This window comes from Homo sapiens, chromosome 17, assembly GCF_000001405.40.
Source record: "Homo sapiens chromosome 17, GRCh38.p14 Primary Assembly".
In the NCBI taxonomy this organism is placed as follows: Eukaryota; Metazoa; Chordata; class Mammalia; order Primates; family Hominidae; genus Homo; species Homo sapiens.
The window spans coordinates 43,311,176-43,326,017 of record NC_000017.11 but is presented as its reverse complement, the minus strand read 5'-3'; the positions used below and the strand labels follow the sequence as shown (position 1 = coordinate 43,326,017).

Below are 14,842 nucleotides of genomic sequence, written 5' to 3'. Positions count from 1 at the left end.
GTTGGAATTATAATTATTACTCCCAATACACAAACTATAGAATGTAATGATTGTAAGCTGTTCACGTGTATCGATGCTACTTTTAATCCCAGAACAAGTATTCTTTTGATAAGGGCTAGGAAGGGGGTATGGATATAATTTCTTTACATCATCCATGGAAGTCTTCCCCCTCTATACACATAGTCAGTGAACTTCTTAAGGGTATCCTCAAAAGAACCAAGAGATTCATTTTTACTCTTATTGCAGTCATTGCAGGACTAATTGCCATTACTGCAACAGCGACAACCGTTGGAGTTGCTATCCACAACTCTGTTCAAACCGCTCAATATGTGGAAGCATGGCAAAAAAAACTCCACCAAACTCTGAAATTCTCATGCTCAAGTTGATCAAAAATTGGCTAATCAAATTAATTATCTCCACCAGAGTGTAATCTGACTGGGAGATAGAGTTATGAATCTGGAACACCATATGCAATTACAGTGCGATTGGAATACTTCTGATTATTGCATAAAACCTTATGTTTATAATAAAGATCAACATAGTGGGGAAGAAGTCTCAAGACATTTAAAAGCCTGGGATGATAACTTAACCTTAGATATTTCAAAACCTAAAGAACACGTTTTTGAGGCCTCACAGGCTCATTTAACTACTGCTCCTGCCTTGGGCAGTTTTGAAGGAATAACTAAAGGATTATCTGATCTTAATCCCTTTAAATGGATCAAACCCCTCGGAGGATCATCGTTGTCATTGGCATTATTAATACTGGTATGTTTATGTTGTCTACTTTTAGTCTGCAGATGTCTCCAAGGAGGCCGAGGACAAGTCCCAAGTCAACGACAAGCAATGATGGCAATGATGATCCTAGTCAATAAAAAGTGGGGAGATGTGGGTGGTAAGCCACCGACGTCCCAAGGCAAGAGACGGAGAGCACGAGCTGTTCCAGTATAATAAAGAAAATATTTAGAATAAGAATAGTCATACTAGAAATAGAATATAGATAGGATTATATGTGATTATATGTGAATATTATTAATCAGTTTGTAGCATTACTCTTTATTCCAATATAATAATCTCTGTTCTACAATTATAACCTAGGAAAATCTAGGCCATACAGAGATAGGAGCTGAAGGAACATGGTGAGAAGTGACCAGAAGACAAGAGTGTGAGCCCTCTGTCATGCCCGGGCAGGGCCACTAGGAGGGCTCCTTGGTGAAGCGGTAACGCCAGTGTCTGGGAAGGCACCCGTTACTTAGCAGACCAGGAAAGGGACTCTGCCTTTCCCTGCGGAGTAAGAGAAGACTCTGCTCCACCACCTCTTGTGGAAGGCCTGACATTAGTCAGACCCGCCTGCAACCATGCCTGCAGGCATCCGGAGACCTAAACGTCTCCCTGTGATGCTGTGCTTCAGTGGTCCTGGTCCACTTTCATTTTCCGCTCTGTGCACATGGCCCCGCCTTCTGGATAGCAGCAGCACAATTAGTGAAAGTATTAGAGTCTTTGATCTTCCCAAGAAATGCAAAGAAGAAATAATGACGTAAGCTCTCCCCTCTCTGTCTCTGCCTCGGCTACCAAACAGGGAAGGGCCCCCTGTACAGTGGATGCATGACTCGCGTGCCCTTACCTATCATTGGCCATGACTCGCACTCCTTACCATGCCCCCTTGCCTTGTATACAATAAATAACAGCGTAGCTAGGCCTTCAGGGCCACTACCGGTCTCCGAGTTTTCGTGGTAGTGTTCCCGTGGGCCCAGCTGTGTTTTCTACTATCTCTTTGTCCGGTGTTTTTATTTCCATGATCTATTGTCTCCGCACACATACAGAAAAACCCACAGGCCCTGTAGGGCTGCACCCTACAGAAAGCCATCCAGATGCCAAGGCAAGACACTGAACGCAGAAGCTGTTCCAATATAATAAAGAAAATAGGATAAAAGAAAGTTATATCAGACATAGGATACAGAGATGATTACATATGGATATTATCAATTATTAGTTTTTAGTATTAATCTTTGTTATTATAACCGAGGAAAAAACAGGCCATACAGAGTAAGAAGTAGAGGGGACAATGTGAGAGGTAACCAGAAGACAAGAGTATGAGCCCTCTGTCATGCCCGGATAACGGCTGCTTGAGGGCTCCATGGTCTTGTGGTAGTGCCTCTTCCTCGGAAGGCACCTGTTATTTAGAACACTTTGGTCTAGCGGTAATGCCAGTGCCTGGGAAGGCCCTGGTTACTTAGCAGGCCTTGGTCTAGCGGTGGCCCCAGTGCCTGGGAAGGCACCCGTTACTTAGCAGACCCGGAAAGGGAATCTCCCTCTCTCCAGGGGAGACAGAGAACGCTCCGCTCCACCACCTCTTGTGGGAGGTCTGACATTAGCCAGGCCGGCCCGCAGTCATCCGGAGGCTCCAACGTCTGTCTCCCTGTGATGCTGTGCTTCAGTGGTCACGCTCCTTGTTCACTTTCATGTTCAGCCTGTACACCTGGCTCCTCCTTTTAAGTTCTTAGAAGACAGCAGTAGCAGAACTAGTAGGAGTACCACAGTCTTCGATCTTTCTGATAAGTGCATAGAAGAAACGCTGACGTTTGCTGTCCTCCCTCTCCACCTCGGCTACCACAAAGGGAAAGGCCCCCTGTCCAGTGGACACGTGACTCGCGTGACCTATCGATCATTGGAGATGACTGGCACTCCTTACCCTGCCCCCTTGCCTTGACTACAATAAATAGCAGCGCCTCCAGGCACTCGGGGCCACTACCTGTCTGTCTCCGCGCTTTGGTGGCAGTGGTCCCCCGGGCCCAGCTGTCTTTCTTCCTATCTCTTTGTCTTCTGTCTTTATCTCTTCGATCTCTCGTCTCCGCACACACGCGAAGAGAAAACCCACAGACCCGGTAGGGGTGGACCCTACATTATCTCAGCTACAACATAATCAGGATATTCACGTGGACTACTGAGTCTTTCGGTGCCCCCTTGCTGTTTTAGTTTTGTCCTGCGGCCGAGTGTTTCCCTCGCTTCACGCCAACACAATCTCCGCCGCCCTGTCTTGTCATCCCCATTCTACAGCCCAGCACGGTGTAGTATGGCAGCCGCTAGCCACAGGTATCTAGGGAGCCCTGGAAATGTGGTCAGTTCTAATGGAGCTGCGCTGTTAAGTGTGAAATACACATGGGATTTTGACGGCAGTGGGAGCAAAATTCTCCCAATTTTTTTTTTTTTTTTTTTTTTTTTTCAGACGGAGGTTCCGCTCTTGTTACCCAGCCTGGAGTCCAATGGCGCGATCTAGGCTCTCTGCAACCTCCGCCTCCCGGGTTCAAGCAATTCCCCTGCCTCAGCCTCCCGAGCAGCTGGGACTACAGGCATGTGCCACCACGCCCGGCTAAGTTTGTATTTTTAGTACAGATGGGGTTTCTCCACGTTGGTCAGGCTGGTCTCCAACTCCCGACCTCCGGTGATCTGCCGAGCCGCCGCCTCCCAAAGTGTTGCTTGCGATTACAGGCTTAAGCCACCGCTCACCCTGGCTTTTTTTTTTTTTTTTTTTTTTTTTTTTTTTACAGACAAACTCTTGCTCTGTCGCCCAGGCTGGAGTGCAGTGGCGCGATCTCGGCTCACTGCAGCCTCTACCTCCCGGGTTCCAGCGATTCTCCTGCCTCAGCCTCCTGGGTAGCTGGGATTACAGGCGTAGGCCACCACGCCCAGCAAATTTTTCCTATTTTTAGTAGAGACGGCGGTCTCATCCTGTTAGCCAGGATGGTCTCCATCTCCTGACCTCGTCATCCGCCCCCCTCAGCCTCCCAAAGTTCTCGGATTACAGGCTTGAGTCACCGTGCCCTGCCTTCTGTGAGGCTTTTCTTTCCAACATCTCTCTCTCTTTTTCTTGTCTTTTTCTTTTCTTTTCTTTTTTTTTTTTTGTGTCGGAGTTTTGCTCTTGATTCGCGTGTTGGAGTCGAATGGCGCGATCTCGGCTCACTGCAACCTCCACCTCCCAGGTACAAGCGATTCTCCTGCCTCAGCCTCTGGAGCAGCTGGGATTACAGGGATGCGCCACCACGCCCAGCTAATTTTGTATTTTTAGTAGAGGTGGGGTTTCGCAATGTTGGGCAGGCTGGTCTCTAACTCAGGTGATCTGCCTGCCTCGTCCTCCCAAAGTGTTGGGATTACAGGTGTGAGCCACCGTGCCGGCGATTACAGAATTTCTTTTTTTCTTTCTTTCTTTTTTTTTTTCGTGATGGAGTTTCGCTCCTGTTGCCCAGGGGAGTGCAATGGCAGGATCTCAGCTCACCCCAACCTCCGCCTCCTGGGTTCAGGCGATTCTCCTGCCTCAGCCTCCTGAGCAGCTGGGATTACAGGCATGTGCCACCACACTTGGCTAATTTTGTATTTTTAGTAGAGACCAGGTTTCTCCATGTTGATCCGGCTGGTCTCAAACTCCTGACCTCAGGTGATCCTCCTGCCTCGGCCTCCCAACATGTTGGGATTATAGGCGTGAGCCACCACGCCTGGCGGTTACAGAATTTCTAAGCAGCAAACATTCAAGAGGTGACTTTGGTGCTGTTAAAAGCATCCAGGATTTGTTGTTGTTTTTGCTATTTTTGTTTTTTTGAGATAGTCTCTGTTGCCCAGGCTGGCATGCAGTGGCAAGATCTCGGCTCACTGCAACCTCTGCCCGCAGAGAATCAAGTGATTCTCGTGCCTCAGTCTCCTGAGTAGCTGTGATTACATGTGCCTGCCACCACACCCAGCCAATTTTTGTATTTTTATTAGAGATAGGGTTTCACCATGTTTGCCAGGCTGGTCTCAAACTCCTGATGTGAATTGATCTGCCCACCTCAGTCTCCCAAAGTGGTGGGATTACAGGCATGAGCCATTGTGCCCAGTAGCATTCTGTTCTTATTTTTTTTTTTTTTTTGAGACGGAGTCTCGCTCTGTCGCCCAGGCTGGACTGACTGCAGTGGCGTGATCTCGGCTCACTGCAACCTTCACATCCTGGGTTCAAACAATTCTCCTGCCTCAGCCTCCCGAGTAGCTGGGACCACAGGCGCCCACCACCACGCCAGGCTAATTTTTGTATTTTTAGTAGAGATGGGGTTTCACCATATTGGCAGGCTTGTCTCAAACTCTTGACCTCGTGATCTGCCTGCCTAGGCCTCCCAAAGTGCTGGGATTACAGGGATGAGCCACCACATCTGGCCAGCATTCAGTTGTAAAAGTGAAACAGACCAGGAGCAGTGGCTCATGCCTGTAGTCCCAGCCCTTTGGGAGGCTGAGTTGAGCAGATCACAAGGTCAGTAGTTCAAGACCAGCCTGGCCAATATAGTGAAACCCCATCTCTACTAAAAATACAAAAATTAGCAGGGTGTTGTGGTGGGCTCCTGTAATCCCCACTACTTGGGAGGCTGAGGCAGAGAACTGCTTAAACCCAGGAGGCAGAGGTTGCAATGAGCCAAGATCACGCCACTGCACTCTGGCCTGGGTGACAGAGCAAGACTCCATTAAAAAAAAAAAAAAAAGTTAAAATGAGCATACAATTTCAAAAAATTTGCAGCCTGACAATGCGGTAGAAAAGAAAAACCCAGGCCGGGTGCAGTGCCTGATGCCCGTAATCCTAGTACTTTGAGAGGCTGAAGTGGGCAGATCATGAAGTCAAGAGATTGAGACCATCCTGGCCAACCTGGTGAAACTCGGTCTCTACTGAAAATACAAAAATTAGCTGGGCATGGTGGCACACACCTGTAGTCCCAGCTACTCGGGAGGCTGAGGCAGGAGAATCGCTTGAACCCGGGAGGCGGAGGTTGCAATGAGCCGAGATTGTGCCAGTGCACTCCAGCCTGGCAACAGATCAAGACTCCATCTCAAAAAAAAAAAAAAAAAAAAAAAAATTCAGAGGAGAAATTCAAGCTGGCCTCAGAAATTTGCATAAGTAACGAGAAGCCAAATGTTAATCATGAAGACAGTGGGGGGAAATGTCTCCAGGGTATGTCAGAGACCTTCATGTGGCAGACCCTCCCATCACAGGCTTGGAGGCCTAGTAGGAAAAAATGGTTTCATGGGCTGTGCCCAGGGCCCCCCTGCTCTGTGCAGCCTGGGGACTTGGTGCCTTGTATCCCAGCTGCTCCAGCCACAGCTAAAAGGGGCCAAGGTGCAGCTCAGGCTGTGGCTTCAGAGGGTGCAAACCCTAGGCCTTGGCAGCTTTCATGTGGTGTTGTGCCTGCGAGTGCACAGAAGTCAAGAATTGAGGCTTGGGAACCTCTGCCAAGATTTCAGAGGATGTGTAGAAATGCCTGGATGTCCAGGTAGAGGTGGGCTGCAGGGGTGGAGCCCTCATGGAGAACCACTGCTAGGGCAGTGCAAAGGGAAATTGTGGGGTGCAAGCCCTCACACAGACTCCCAACTGGGGCAGTGCCTAGTGGAGCTGCAAGAAAAGAGTCACTGTCCTCCAGACCCCAGAATGGTAGCTCCACTGACAGCTTGCACCTTGCTCCTGGAAAAGCCACAGACACTCAAGGCCTGCCTGTGAAAGCAGCTGGGAGGGGGGGCTATACCCTGCAAAGCCACAGGGGCAGAGCTGCCAAGGCCATGGGAGCCCACCTCTTGCATCAGTGTGACCTGGACATGAGACATGGAGTCAAAGGAAATCATTTTGGGGCTTTAAGATTTGACTGCTGCCAGGCATGTCGGCTCACTCCTGTAATTCCAGCACTTTGGGAGGCCAAGGTGGGAGGATCGCTTGAGTTCAGGAGTTCAAGACCAGCCTGGCCAACATGGTGAAACTCCGTCTCTACTAAAAATACAAAAAAAATTAGCCAGGCATTGTGGCATGTGCCTGTAATCCCAGCTACTCAGGAGGCTGAGGCAGAAGAATTGCTTGAACCCGGGAGGTGGAGGTTGCAGTGAGCCAAGATCATGCCACTGCACTCCAGCCTGGGTGACAGAGCAAGACTCCATCTCAAAAAAAAAAAAAAAAAAAAAAAGATTTGACTGCTCCACTGGACTTCAGACTTGCATAGGAGATCTGTAACCCCTTTGTTTTGGCCAATTTCTCCCATTTTGAACAGCTGTATTTACTCAATGCCTGTACCCTCATTGTATCTAGGAATTAACAAACTTGCTTTTTTTTTTTTCTTTTTGAGACAGAGTCTCACTCTGTCACCCAGGCTGGAGTGCAGTGCCATGATCTTGGCTCACTGCAACCTCTGCCTCCTGGGTTCAAGCGATTCTCCTGCTTCGGCCTCTCGAGTAGCTGGGATTACAGGCATGTGCCACCACGCCCGGCTAATTTTTTTGTATTTTTAGTAGAGATGGGGTTTCACTATGTTGGCCAGACTGGTCTCAAACTCCCGAACTCAGATGATCTGCCTGCCTTGGCCTCCCAAAGTGCTGGGATCACAGGCATGAGCCACCATGCCCGACCCTAACTTGCTTTTGATTGTACAGGCTGGTAGGCGGAAGGGACTTGCCTTGTCTCAGATGAGACTTTGGACTGTAGACTTTTGAGTTAATGCTGAAATAAGACTTTGGGAGACTGTTGGGAAGGCATGATAGGTTTTGAAATGTGAGGACATGAGATTTGGGAGGGGCTACAGCAAAATGATATGGTTTGGCTGTGTCCCCACCCAAGTCTCATCTTGAATTGTAGCTCCCATAATTCCCACGTGTCATGGGAGGGACCCAGTGGGAGGTAATTGAATCATGGGGCCAGGACTTTTCCATATTGTTCTCATGATAGTGAATAAGTCTCACAAGATCTGATGGTTTTATAAAGGGGAGTTCCCTTGCACAAGTTCTCTCTCACCTTCCACCATGTAAGACATGCCTTTCACCTTCCACCATGATTGTGAGGCTTCCCCAGCCACGTGGAACTGTGAGTCCATTAAACCTCTTTTTCTTTATAAATTACCCAGTCTCCGGTATGTTTTTATTAGCAGCACGAGCACAGACTAATGCAGACTTATTGGGCCCCAGGTAGCAAATGTGGGATGTCTATTTTCCCCCAGCTTGCCCAGGGTTAAGGTGAGCCCAGTCAGCTTCCACCAGTTACACTCAGTGACACAGGTGCAGTTTGTTAGAGTTGGTGCAGTTAGATTAGTTGGAGGTGGGCCCAAGGACTTTGGGGATGCGGGTTGAGGGGGTGGGGAGTGGGGTGACAGGTACCAAAGGGTAGCAGAGGGAGGGATGGTAGAGGTGATTGGAGAGTGTGACCCTCGAAGTGGATGGGGTTATGGCAATCGACAATGACATGACCTAGGGTTAGACCAGGGAAGTGAGTGGCTGGGGTAGTCAAAGCTGAGGTCAAGGAATTGGGGAACCAGGGTGTCGATTGATGACAGGAGTTATGCTGGAGAAAGTCAGTGCTCCAGGAGCTAAAAACCTTCAAGGAATAAAGTAAGTGTTGGCATGGAGTGACCAGCAGCCAGGAGAGACAACAGCAACAAGGAGAGGTAGTGGGCAGCACAGGTGCAAGGCACAATGGAGTGAGAGGTGGGGAGAGCAAACAGAAAGAGGAAAGCAATGTCTTCAGCGGGAGGATAGAGCAAACGAAGAAAGGGGGGCCGGGCACAGTGGCTCACACCTGTAATCCCAGCACTTTGGGAGGCCAGTGCGGGTGGATCACCTGAGTTTGGCAGTTTGAGACCAGCCTGACCATCATGGAGAAACCCCATCTCTACTAAAAATACAAAAAAAATTTAGCCGGGCGTGGTGGCACATGCCTGTAATCCCAGCTACTCTGGAGGCTGAGGCAGGAGAATCGCTTGAACCCAGGAGGTGGAGGTTGCAGTGAGCCGAGATCGCACCATTGCACTCCAGCCTAGGCAACAAGAGTGAAACTCAGCCTCAAAAAAAAAAAAAAAAGAAGAAGAAGAAGAAGAAGAAGAAAGGAGGCTGGGAATAGGGAGGATGGTAGGAAAATTAGCAAGGTTTCAGGAATCAGACATGGGATAAGAGACCGGAGCTTCTTGTGACTGGCGGGCATAGGGCAGAAATGCAGAACTGTGGGATCGTTCTACAGTGAGTGGCAGATACCTGGAAGGCAGCTGCAGCCTTAGGTCTTGGCTCTCACTAATTGGGTGATGTCACCTCTGTCCAAGCAGTCGATCCCAGGAGCCTCCGAAGACCACCAGAGCAGTCCTTAGTGCCAGGTGAGTCTGCTAAAATAAAAACACAACGCTTTGCCGAGAAGCGGGGTAAAAAAAAGCTTTATCGCCGGCTGCAATCGAATTTCGGGGACAGGCCGGGTGCAGTAACTCAGGCCTGTAATCCCAGCACTTTGGGAGGCCCAAACGGGTGGATCACTTTGAGGCCAGGCGTTCGAGACCAACCTGGCCAACATGGCAAAACCCCGTCTCTACTAAAAATGCAAAAAATTAGCCAGTCATGGTGGGCACGTGCCTGTAATCCCAGCTACTCAGGAGGCTGAGGCACAAGAATCACCTGAACTTGGGAGGCAGAGGTTGCAGTAAGCCCAGATCTGGCCACTGCACTCCAGCCGGGGTTGGGGGTTGTGGGGGACAGAGTGAGACTATCTTAAAAAAAAAAAAAAAAAAAAAAAAAAAAAAAAGGAAGTGGAGACTAGCCACAGACCCAAAAGAAAACGAGCAAAAATGTAAAGCCTACTTTTGGCAATTGCTCATGTGGAGAGGAATGAATGCAGTGTTCTTGAAATTATTGAAATATTAGATCCGGAAGCTGAAGTGGGAGAACCATCTGAGTCCAGGAAGTCGAGATCATAGTGAACTCTCATCCCGCCACTGCACTCCAGCCTGGATGACAAAAGTGACACTCTATAAGACAAAAAAAAAAAAAAAAAAAGGCGGGGAGGGGGCTGGTCACACATACTCTCACCTAGACAAGGATATTGACGACCAATTCTGAAGCATGATATAACGCAATAAGAACGTGAATATAACAAAGTATAACCTTTAAAACACAACGCTCACTCACCTAAAAAATCGTTCACCTTTGTTTGAAGTACTACAACCTCCCAACCCCACCGTTTTCTCCAAAAACCCCCTCAACACAGCATTCTCAGAAACAAAAAGAAAGAACGCACACACTAAGCTAGGAAAAACACACATAATTACACCTCACCACAAACAGAGATCTGGAAAAATTTGTCGAATCCAGCATCTTTGCCTTCGCCATTACCACCCTCATATCACCATATTACACCCACGGTGAGCAACGATAGGGGCAATTGACAACTTCGTTTCTCAATAGGCCTGTTGAAAACAGCAAGCCTTTGGGCATGGTTTATAGTTGGCTACGTTTTCAAGTGAATTCTCAGCTCTGTTTTTGCCCCGTGGCTGAAGCGCCATTTCTAATTTGCATGTCTCGCCCTTTCCCGCGTGGGTAGGCGTGGCTACGGCGATCTGAGTCCCCGCTGCGGTCCAGCTCTGCTCGCAGCGGCCGGCCGAAGCTGGGCTGGGGCTCCCGGTCTGGACCATCCGGGGGTCAAGACAGTGGTCAGGGGGAAATGCGCGTGGGCGTCACTAGCGGTCTGTGGAAGGGAGTTGGAGGAGAGTGGTCCGAGCTCTTTTGAGGAAAGCCATCAGGTCATCACTGTAAAGACTGGAGCGTCCCGCGGCCTGGCTGGGTCCCAAGCGAAGGCGGAGCCGACGAGGCCCCGCCGCCCCCCACCCCCTTCCCGGGGCCACAGAGAGAAGTCGGGTCGCGAGACCGCGCCGAGGGGGCTGCCGCCCTGGGAGTCACAGCCCCGTCCGCGCGCCTTGCCCTGTCGGCGGGGCACTGGGGGCAAACCACTTAACCTCCGGACTCTGTTTCCCCAGCTGGAAAGCAGAAACACCAATGCCTACCTCGTGGGGTGGAGGGAGCAGAAACGGAGCCGAGGAAGGGACCGTGGCTCGGTAGTCTGCAATGTGAGTCAGAGTTTCCCACAAGCTTCCCCAGAAGGGGTCATGACTGTGAAATGACTGAGACAATAAAATAGGAAGCATTTACTGTTTGGCTTAGGCTCTGTGTTAAGTGCTCTCCTCATTACAAACTTGCAAAAGTTACATACAGATGCAGAAGCTGAGGCAGAGAGGTTAAGCAGCTTGCCCAAGACCACAGGGAGGTAGGATTTGAACCTAGGTGCACTGGCCACAGCATCTTCCCCATCACTCCATCCACCTGTGAAGCAGAGAGCCTAGAGCCAAAAATGGATACCTAGAGAAAGATAATTTGTTCTTGTGTGTCCAGCACTCTGTGAGACAAAGCACTGAGCCTGAGACACAAGTCTTCTGTCTGCAGAGAGGCAAGAACCAAGCTGTCTGCTGCAGCAGTTGAGAAGAGCCTCGGCCCTGGCACTGTGGCTCATGCCTGTAATCCCAACACTTTGGGAGGCCGAAATGGGAGGATCACTTGAGCCCAGGAGTTCGAGACCAGCCTTGACAACAAAGTGAGAGCCCCATCTCTACAAAAAAAAAAAAAAAAAAAAAACCAGAAAATCTACCGGGCGTGGTGGAGCAGGCTTGTAGTCCCAGTGACTGGGGAGACTGAGCTTGGGGGACTACTTGAGCCCTGGGAGGACCACTTGAGCCCTGGGAAAACAGCTTGAGCCCCAGGAGGCCAAAGTGGCAATGAGCTGTGATCAGGCCACTGCACTCCACTCCAACCTGGGGGACCGACTGAGACCCTATCTCAAAAAAAAAAAAAAAAAAAAAAAAAACAAATAGCCAGGCAGGGTGGCTCACACCTGTAATCCCAGTACTTTGGGAGGCCTAGGCGGGCAGATCATCTGAGGTCAGGAGTTCGAGACTGGCCTGGCCAACATGGTGAAACCTCCTCTCTACCAAAAATACAAAAAATTAGCCAGGCGTGGTGGTGGGCACCTGTAATCCCAGCTACTTGGGGGGCTGAGGTGGGAGAATCGCTTGAACCCAGAGGCGGAGGCTGTAGTCAGCCACAATGGCACCATTGCACTCCAGCCTGGGAGACAGAGCAAGACTCCGTCTCAAAAAAAAAAAAAAAAAAAAAAAAGTCGGGCATGGTTGGTGGGTGCCTGTAATCCCAGCTAATCGGGAGGCTGAAGCAGGAGAATTGCTTGAGCCTGGGAGGTGGAGATTGCAATGAGCCAAGACCATGCCACCCACTGCACTCCAGCCTGGGCAACTGAGCGAGACGCCGTATCAAAAAAAAAAAAAAAAAAAAAAAAAAGCAAGGGAAAACAGCTTAGGCAAGTCACTCCTCTGAGGCTTATTTTTTTTCCTGTATAAAACAGGAATCTTAAAATCTAGTCTGTAGTCCTGGCGTTCTCTACCCTCATCCACACAGGGTCTCTGTTCTCTTTTACCTGGCTTTATTCTACTCGGTGGCACCTGTCACCCCACATTTTATACAATGATACGTTTATTGCATTTTAGCATAGTAGAATGTAAGCTCCAGAGCAGGAATCTTTGTCGCTTGTTCACTTTTATATGACTGGCACCCTGAACAATGCCTGGCATATAGTAGCCACTCAGTATATATTTTTTGAATGAATGAATGAATATTAAATATATTAATATTTCCTACAATAGAAAGTGATTAGTAAATCTCCTGGCTTGTGGTAAGTATCATGACCCTGCAGGGCTCACTATTTTACTGCCTCTCTGCTCATTTTCGTGTTTATCAGGCCATCTTTTGCTTGCTAATTTGGTTTCCCAGGTACTGTTTTTTGTTTTTTTATTTTAGTAGAGATGGGTTCTCTCTATGTTGCCCAGGCTGATCTCAAACTCCTGAGCTCAAGCAATCATCCTTCCTCAGCCTCCCAAAGTCCTGGGGTTACAGGCATCAGCCATCATTCCCAGTCCCCGGTATTGTTTTTGAGTACTTAGGGGAGCCAAGGGGAAACTTCCGTCTTTGCCCTGTGAAGGTTCAGTGAAAAATCACTGGCACGAGGCAGATTAACAGGAGAAAAGGCATATAATTTTGTTTTTAATGGTATACATGAGAGTCTTCAGAGCAAAGACCCAAAGATACAGAGAAAATTGTCCGTTTTAATGCTTAGGGTCAATAAAGTATGGAAGGCCATGTAGAAATATGACTGGACAAGAGGACATGCTGTAAGGAGAATACAATGAGTGGGGAAATCCCTAAGGCTCCTGTCTGTCCAGGTTTTATTTTATTTTTTTTCCCAACACAGTCTCACTCTATTGCCCAAACCGGAGTGCAGTGGCGTGATCATAGCTCACGGTAACCTCAAACTCCTGGGCTCAAGAGATCCTCCCATCTCAACCTCCTAAGTAGCTAGGACTACAGGTGTGTGCCACCACACCCAGCTAAGTTTTTTAAGTTTTTAATTTTTTGTAGAAACAGTGTCTTGCTGGCCGGGCGCAGTGGCTCACGCCTGTAATCCCAGCACTTTGGGAGGCCAAGGTGGGCGGATTACAGGGTCAGGAGATCGAGACCATCCTGGCTAACATGGTGAAACCCTGTCTCTACTAAACATACAAAAAAATTAGCCGGGCGCGGTGGTGGGCACCTGTAGTCCCAGCTACTTGGGAGGCTGAGGCAGGACAATGGCGTGAACCCAGGAGGCGGAGGTTGCAGTGAGCCAAGATCGCGCCACTGCACTCCAGCCTGGGCGACAGAGCGAGACTCCGTCTCAAAAAAAAAAAAAAAAGAAAGGAACAGTGTCTTGCTATGTTGCCTTTTGAGACTCAAAGTGGAAATTTCTTGAAGCCTTTTTCATCTCTTTGTCTTCAGCCACACTTTCCATGACGAGCTGTTGCTGTCTGTCACTTTCTCCTTTAGACTTTTGCCAGATAGAGGATCTTGAACTCCTGGCCTCAAGCGATCCTCCTGCCTCAGCCTCCCACAGTGTGGGAATTACAGGCGTGGGCCACCATGCCTGGCCTGTCCAGATCCTTGTTGGCTTCTCTGAGCATGTATTCCTTCCTTCTGCGTGTCGGGCAGGATGCTCTGTGGAATGGGGGTCTTATGACCTACAGTCAAACAAAGTAGGTCAGGTAATTTCTTTGTGGCCAGTTTTTACAGATAGGACAGAGGGAAAACCAGAGTAATATTTTTACACTTGCAGGCTGGCTTTGGAGAAAAGGGCTTCTGGTTTCCATGACCTGCCTCAGGGAAGAGGGATTTTTGTGTCTATGGCTAGCTTCAGGGGAGAATGGGACTGGGGGAGTCAGAGAAAAACTTTTTACTTCTGAGGCTGCTGCTGAGGCCTTCATTTTAGGGTATTGTTTTCTGAGCCCACTGTATGCCACTGAGTATCTACATTTTCTTTTCGGTGTTTCAACAATCCCAAATGCAGCCAGGTGCGGTGGCTTACCCTTGTAATCCCAGCACTTTGGGAGGCCAAAGTAGGAGGATCACTTGAGCCTAGGAGTTTGAGACCAGGTTGGGCAACATAGTGAGACCTCATCTCTACAAATAATAATAATAAAAATAAGGCCAGGTACAGTGGTTCACACCTATAATCCTAGCACTTTGGGAGGCCAAGGCAGGAGGACCACTTAAGCTCAGGAGTTCAAGACCAGCCTGGGCAACATAGTGAGACCTCATCTCTATTAAAAATAGTAATAATAGGCCGGGCGCGGTGGCTCACGCCTGTAATCCCAGCACTTTGGGAGGCCGAGGTGGGCGGATCACGAGGTCAGGAGATCGAGACCATCCTGGCTAACATGGTGAAACCCCGTCTCTACTAAAAATACAAAAAATTAACTGGGCGTAGTGGCGGGCGCCTGTAGTCCCAGCTACTCCGGAGGCTGAGGCAGGAGAATGGCGTGAACCCGGGAGGCGGAGCTTGCAGTGAGCTGAGATTGCGCCACTGCACTCCAGCCTGGGCGACAGAGCCAGACTCTGTCTCAAAAAAAAAAATAGTAATAATAAATAAAATAAGATAAAATAAAAGTTAGCT

At 49.0% G+C, this 14,842-nt stretch overlaps 6 annotated features.

The window, feature by feature from the left end:
• Window positions 1,429-1,618: an enhancer, noted in NCBI's record as "active region_12240". NCBI's record gives its function as "activates an Ori minimal core promoter by ATAC-STARR-seq in GM12878 lymphoblastoid cells {active_cell/tissue: GM12878}" and the evidence as "EXISTENCE:reporter gene assay evidence [ECO:0000049][PMID:35858748]".
• Window positions 2,362-2,869: an enhancer, noted in NCBI's record as "OCT4-H3K27ac-H3K4me1 hESC enhancer chr17:41400517-41401024 (GRCh37/hg19 assembly coordinates)". NCBI's record gives its function as "activates a minimal SCP1, AML or CMV promoter by ChIP-STARR-seq in naive and primed H9 embryonic stem cells {active_cell/tissue: H9 hESC(naive and primed)}" and the evidence as "EXISTENCE:reporter gene assay evidence [ECO:0000049][PMID:30033119]".
• Window positions 2,870-3,373: an enhancer, noted in NCBI's record as "H3K27ac-H3K4me1 hESC enhancer chr17:41400009-41400516 (GRCh37/hg19 assembly coordinates)". NCBI's record gives its function as "activates a minimal SCP1, AML or CMV promoter by ChIP-STARR-seq in naive H9 embryonic stem cells {active_cell/tissue: H9 hESC(naive)}" and the evidence as "EXISTENCE:reporter gene assay evidence [ECO:0000049][PMID:30033119]".
• Window positions 3,374-3,880: an enhancer, noted in NCBI's record as "H3K4me1 hESC enhancer chr17:41399501-41400008 (GRCh37/hg19 assembly coordinates)". NCBI's record gives its function as "activates a minimal SCP1, AML or CMV promoter by ChIP-STARR-seq in naive H9 embryonic stem cells {active_cell/tissue: H9 hESC(naive)}" and the evidence as "EXISTENCE:reporter gene assay evidence [ECO:0000049][PMID:30033119]".
• Window positions 9,343-9,975: an enhancer, noted in NCBI's record as "NANOG-H3K27ac-H3K4me1 hESC enhancer chr17:41393399-41394036 (GRCh37/hg19 assembly coordinates)". NCBI's record gives its function as "activates a minimal SCP1, AML or CMV promoter by ChIP-STARR-seq in naive H9 embryonic stem cells {active_cell/tissue: H9 hESC(naive)}" and the evidence as "EXISTENCE:reporter gene assay evidence [ECO:0000049][PMID:30033119]".
• Window positions 9,976-10,613: an enhancer, noted in NCBI's record as "NANOG-H3K27ac-H3K4me1 hESC enhancer chr17:41392761-41393398 (GRCh37/hg19 assembly coordinates)". NCBI's record gives its function as "activates a minimal SCP1, AML or CMV promoter by ChIP-STARR-seq in naive H9 embryonic stem cells {active_cell/tissue: H9 hESC(naive)}" and the evidence as "EXISTENCE:reporter gene assay evidence [ECO:0000049][PMID:30033119]".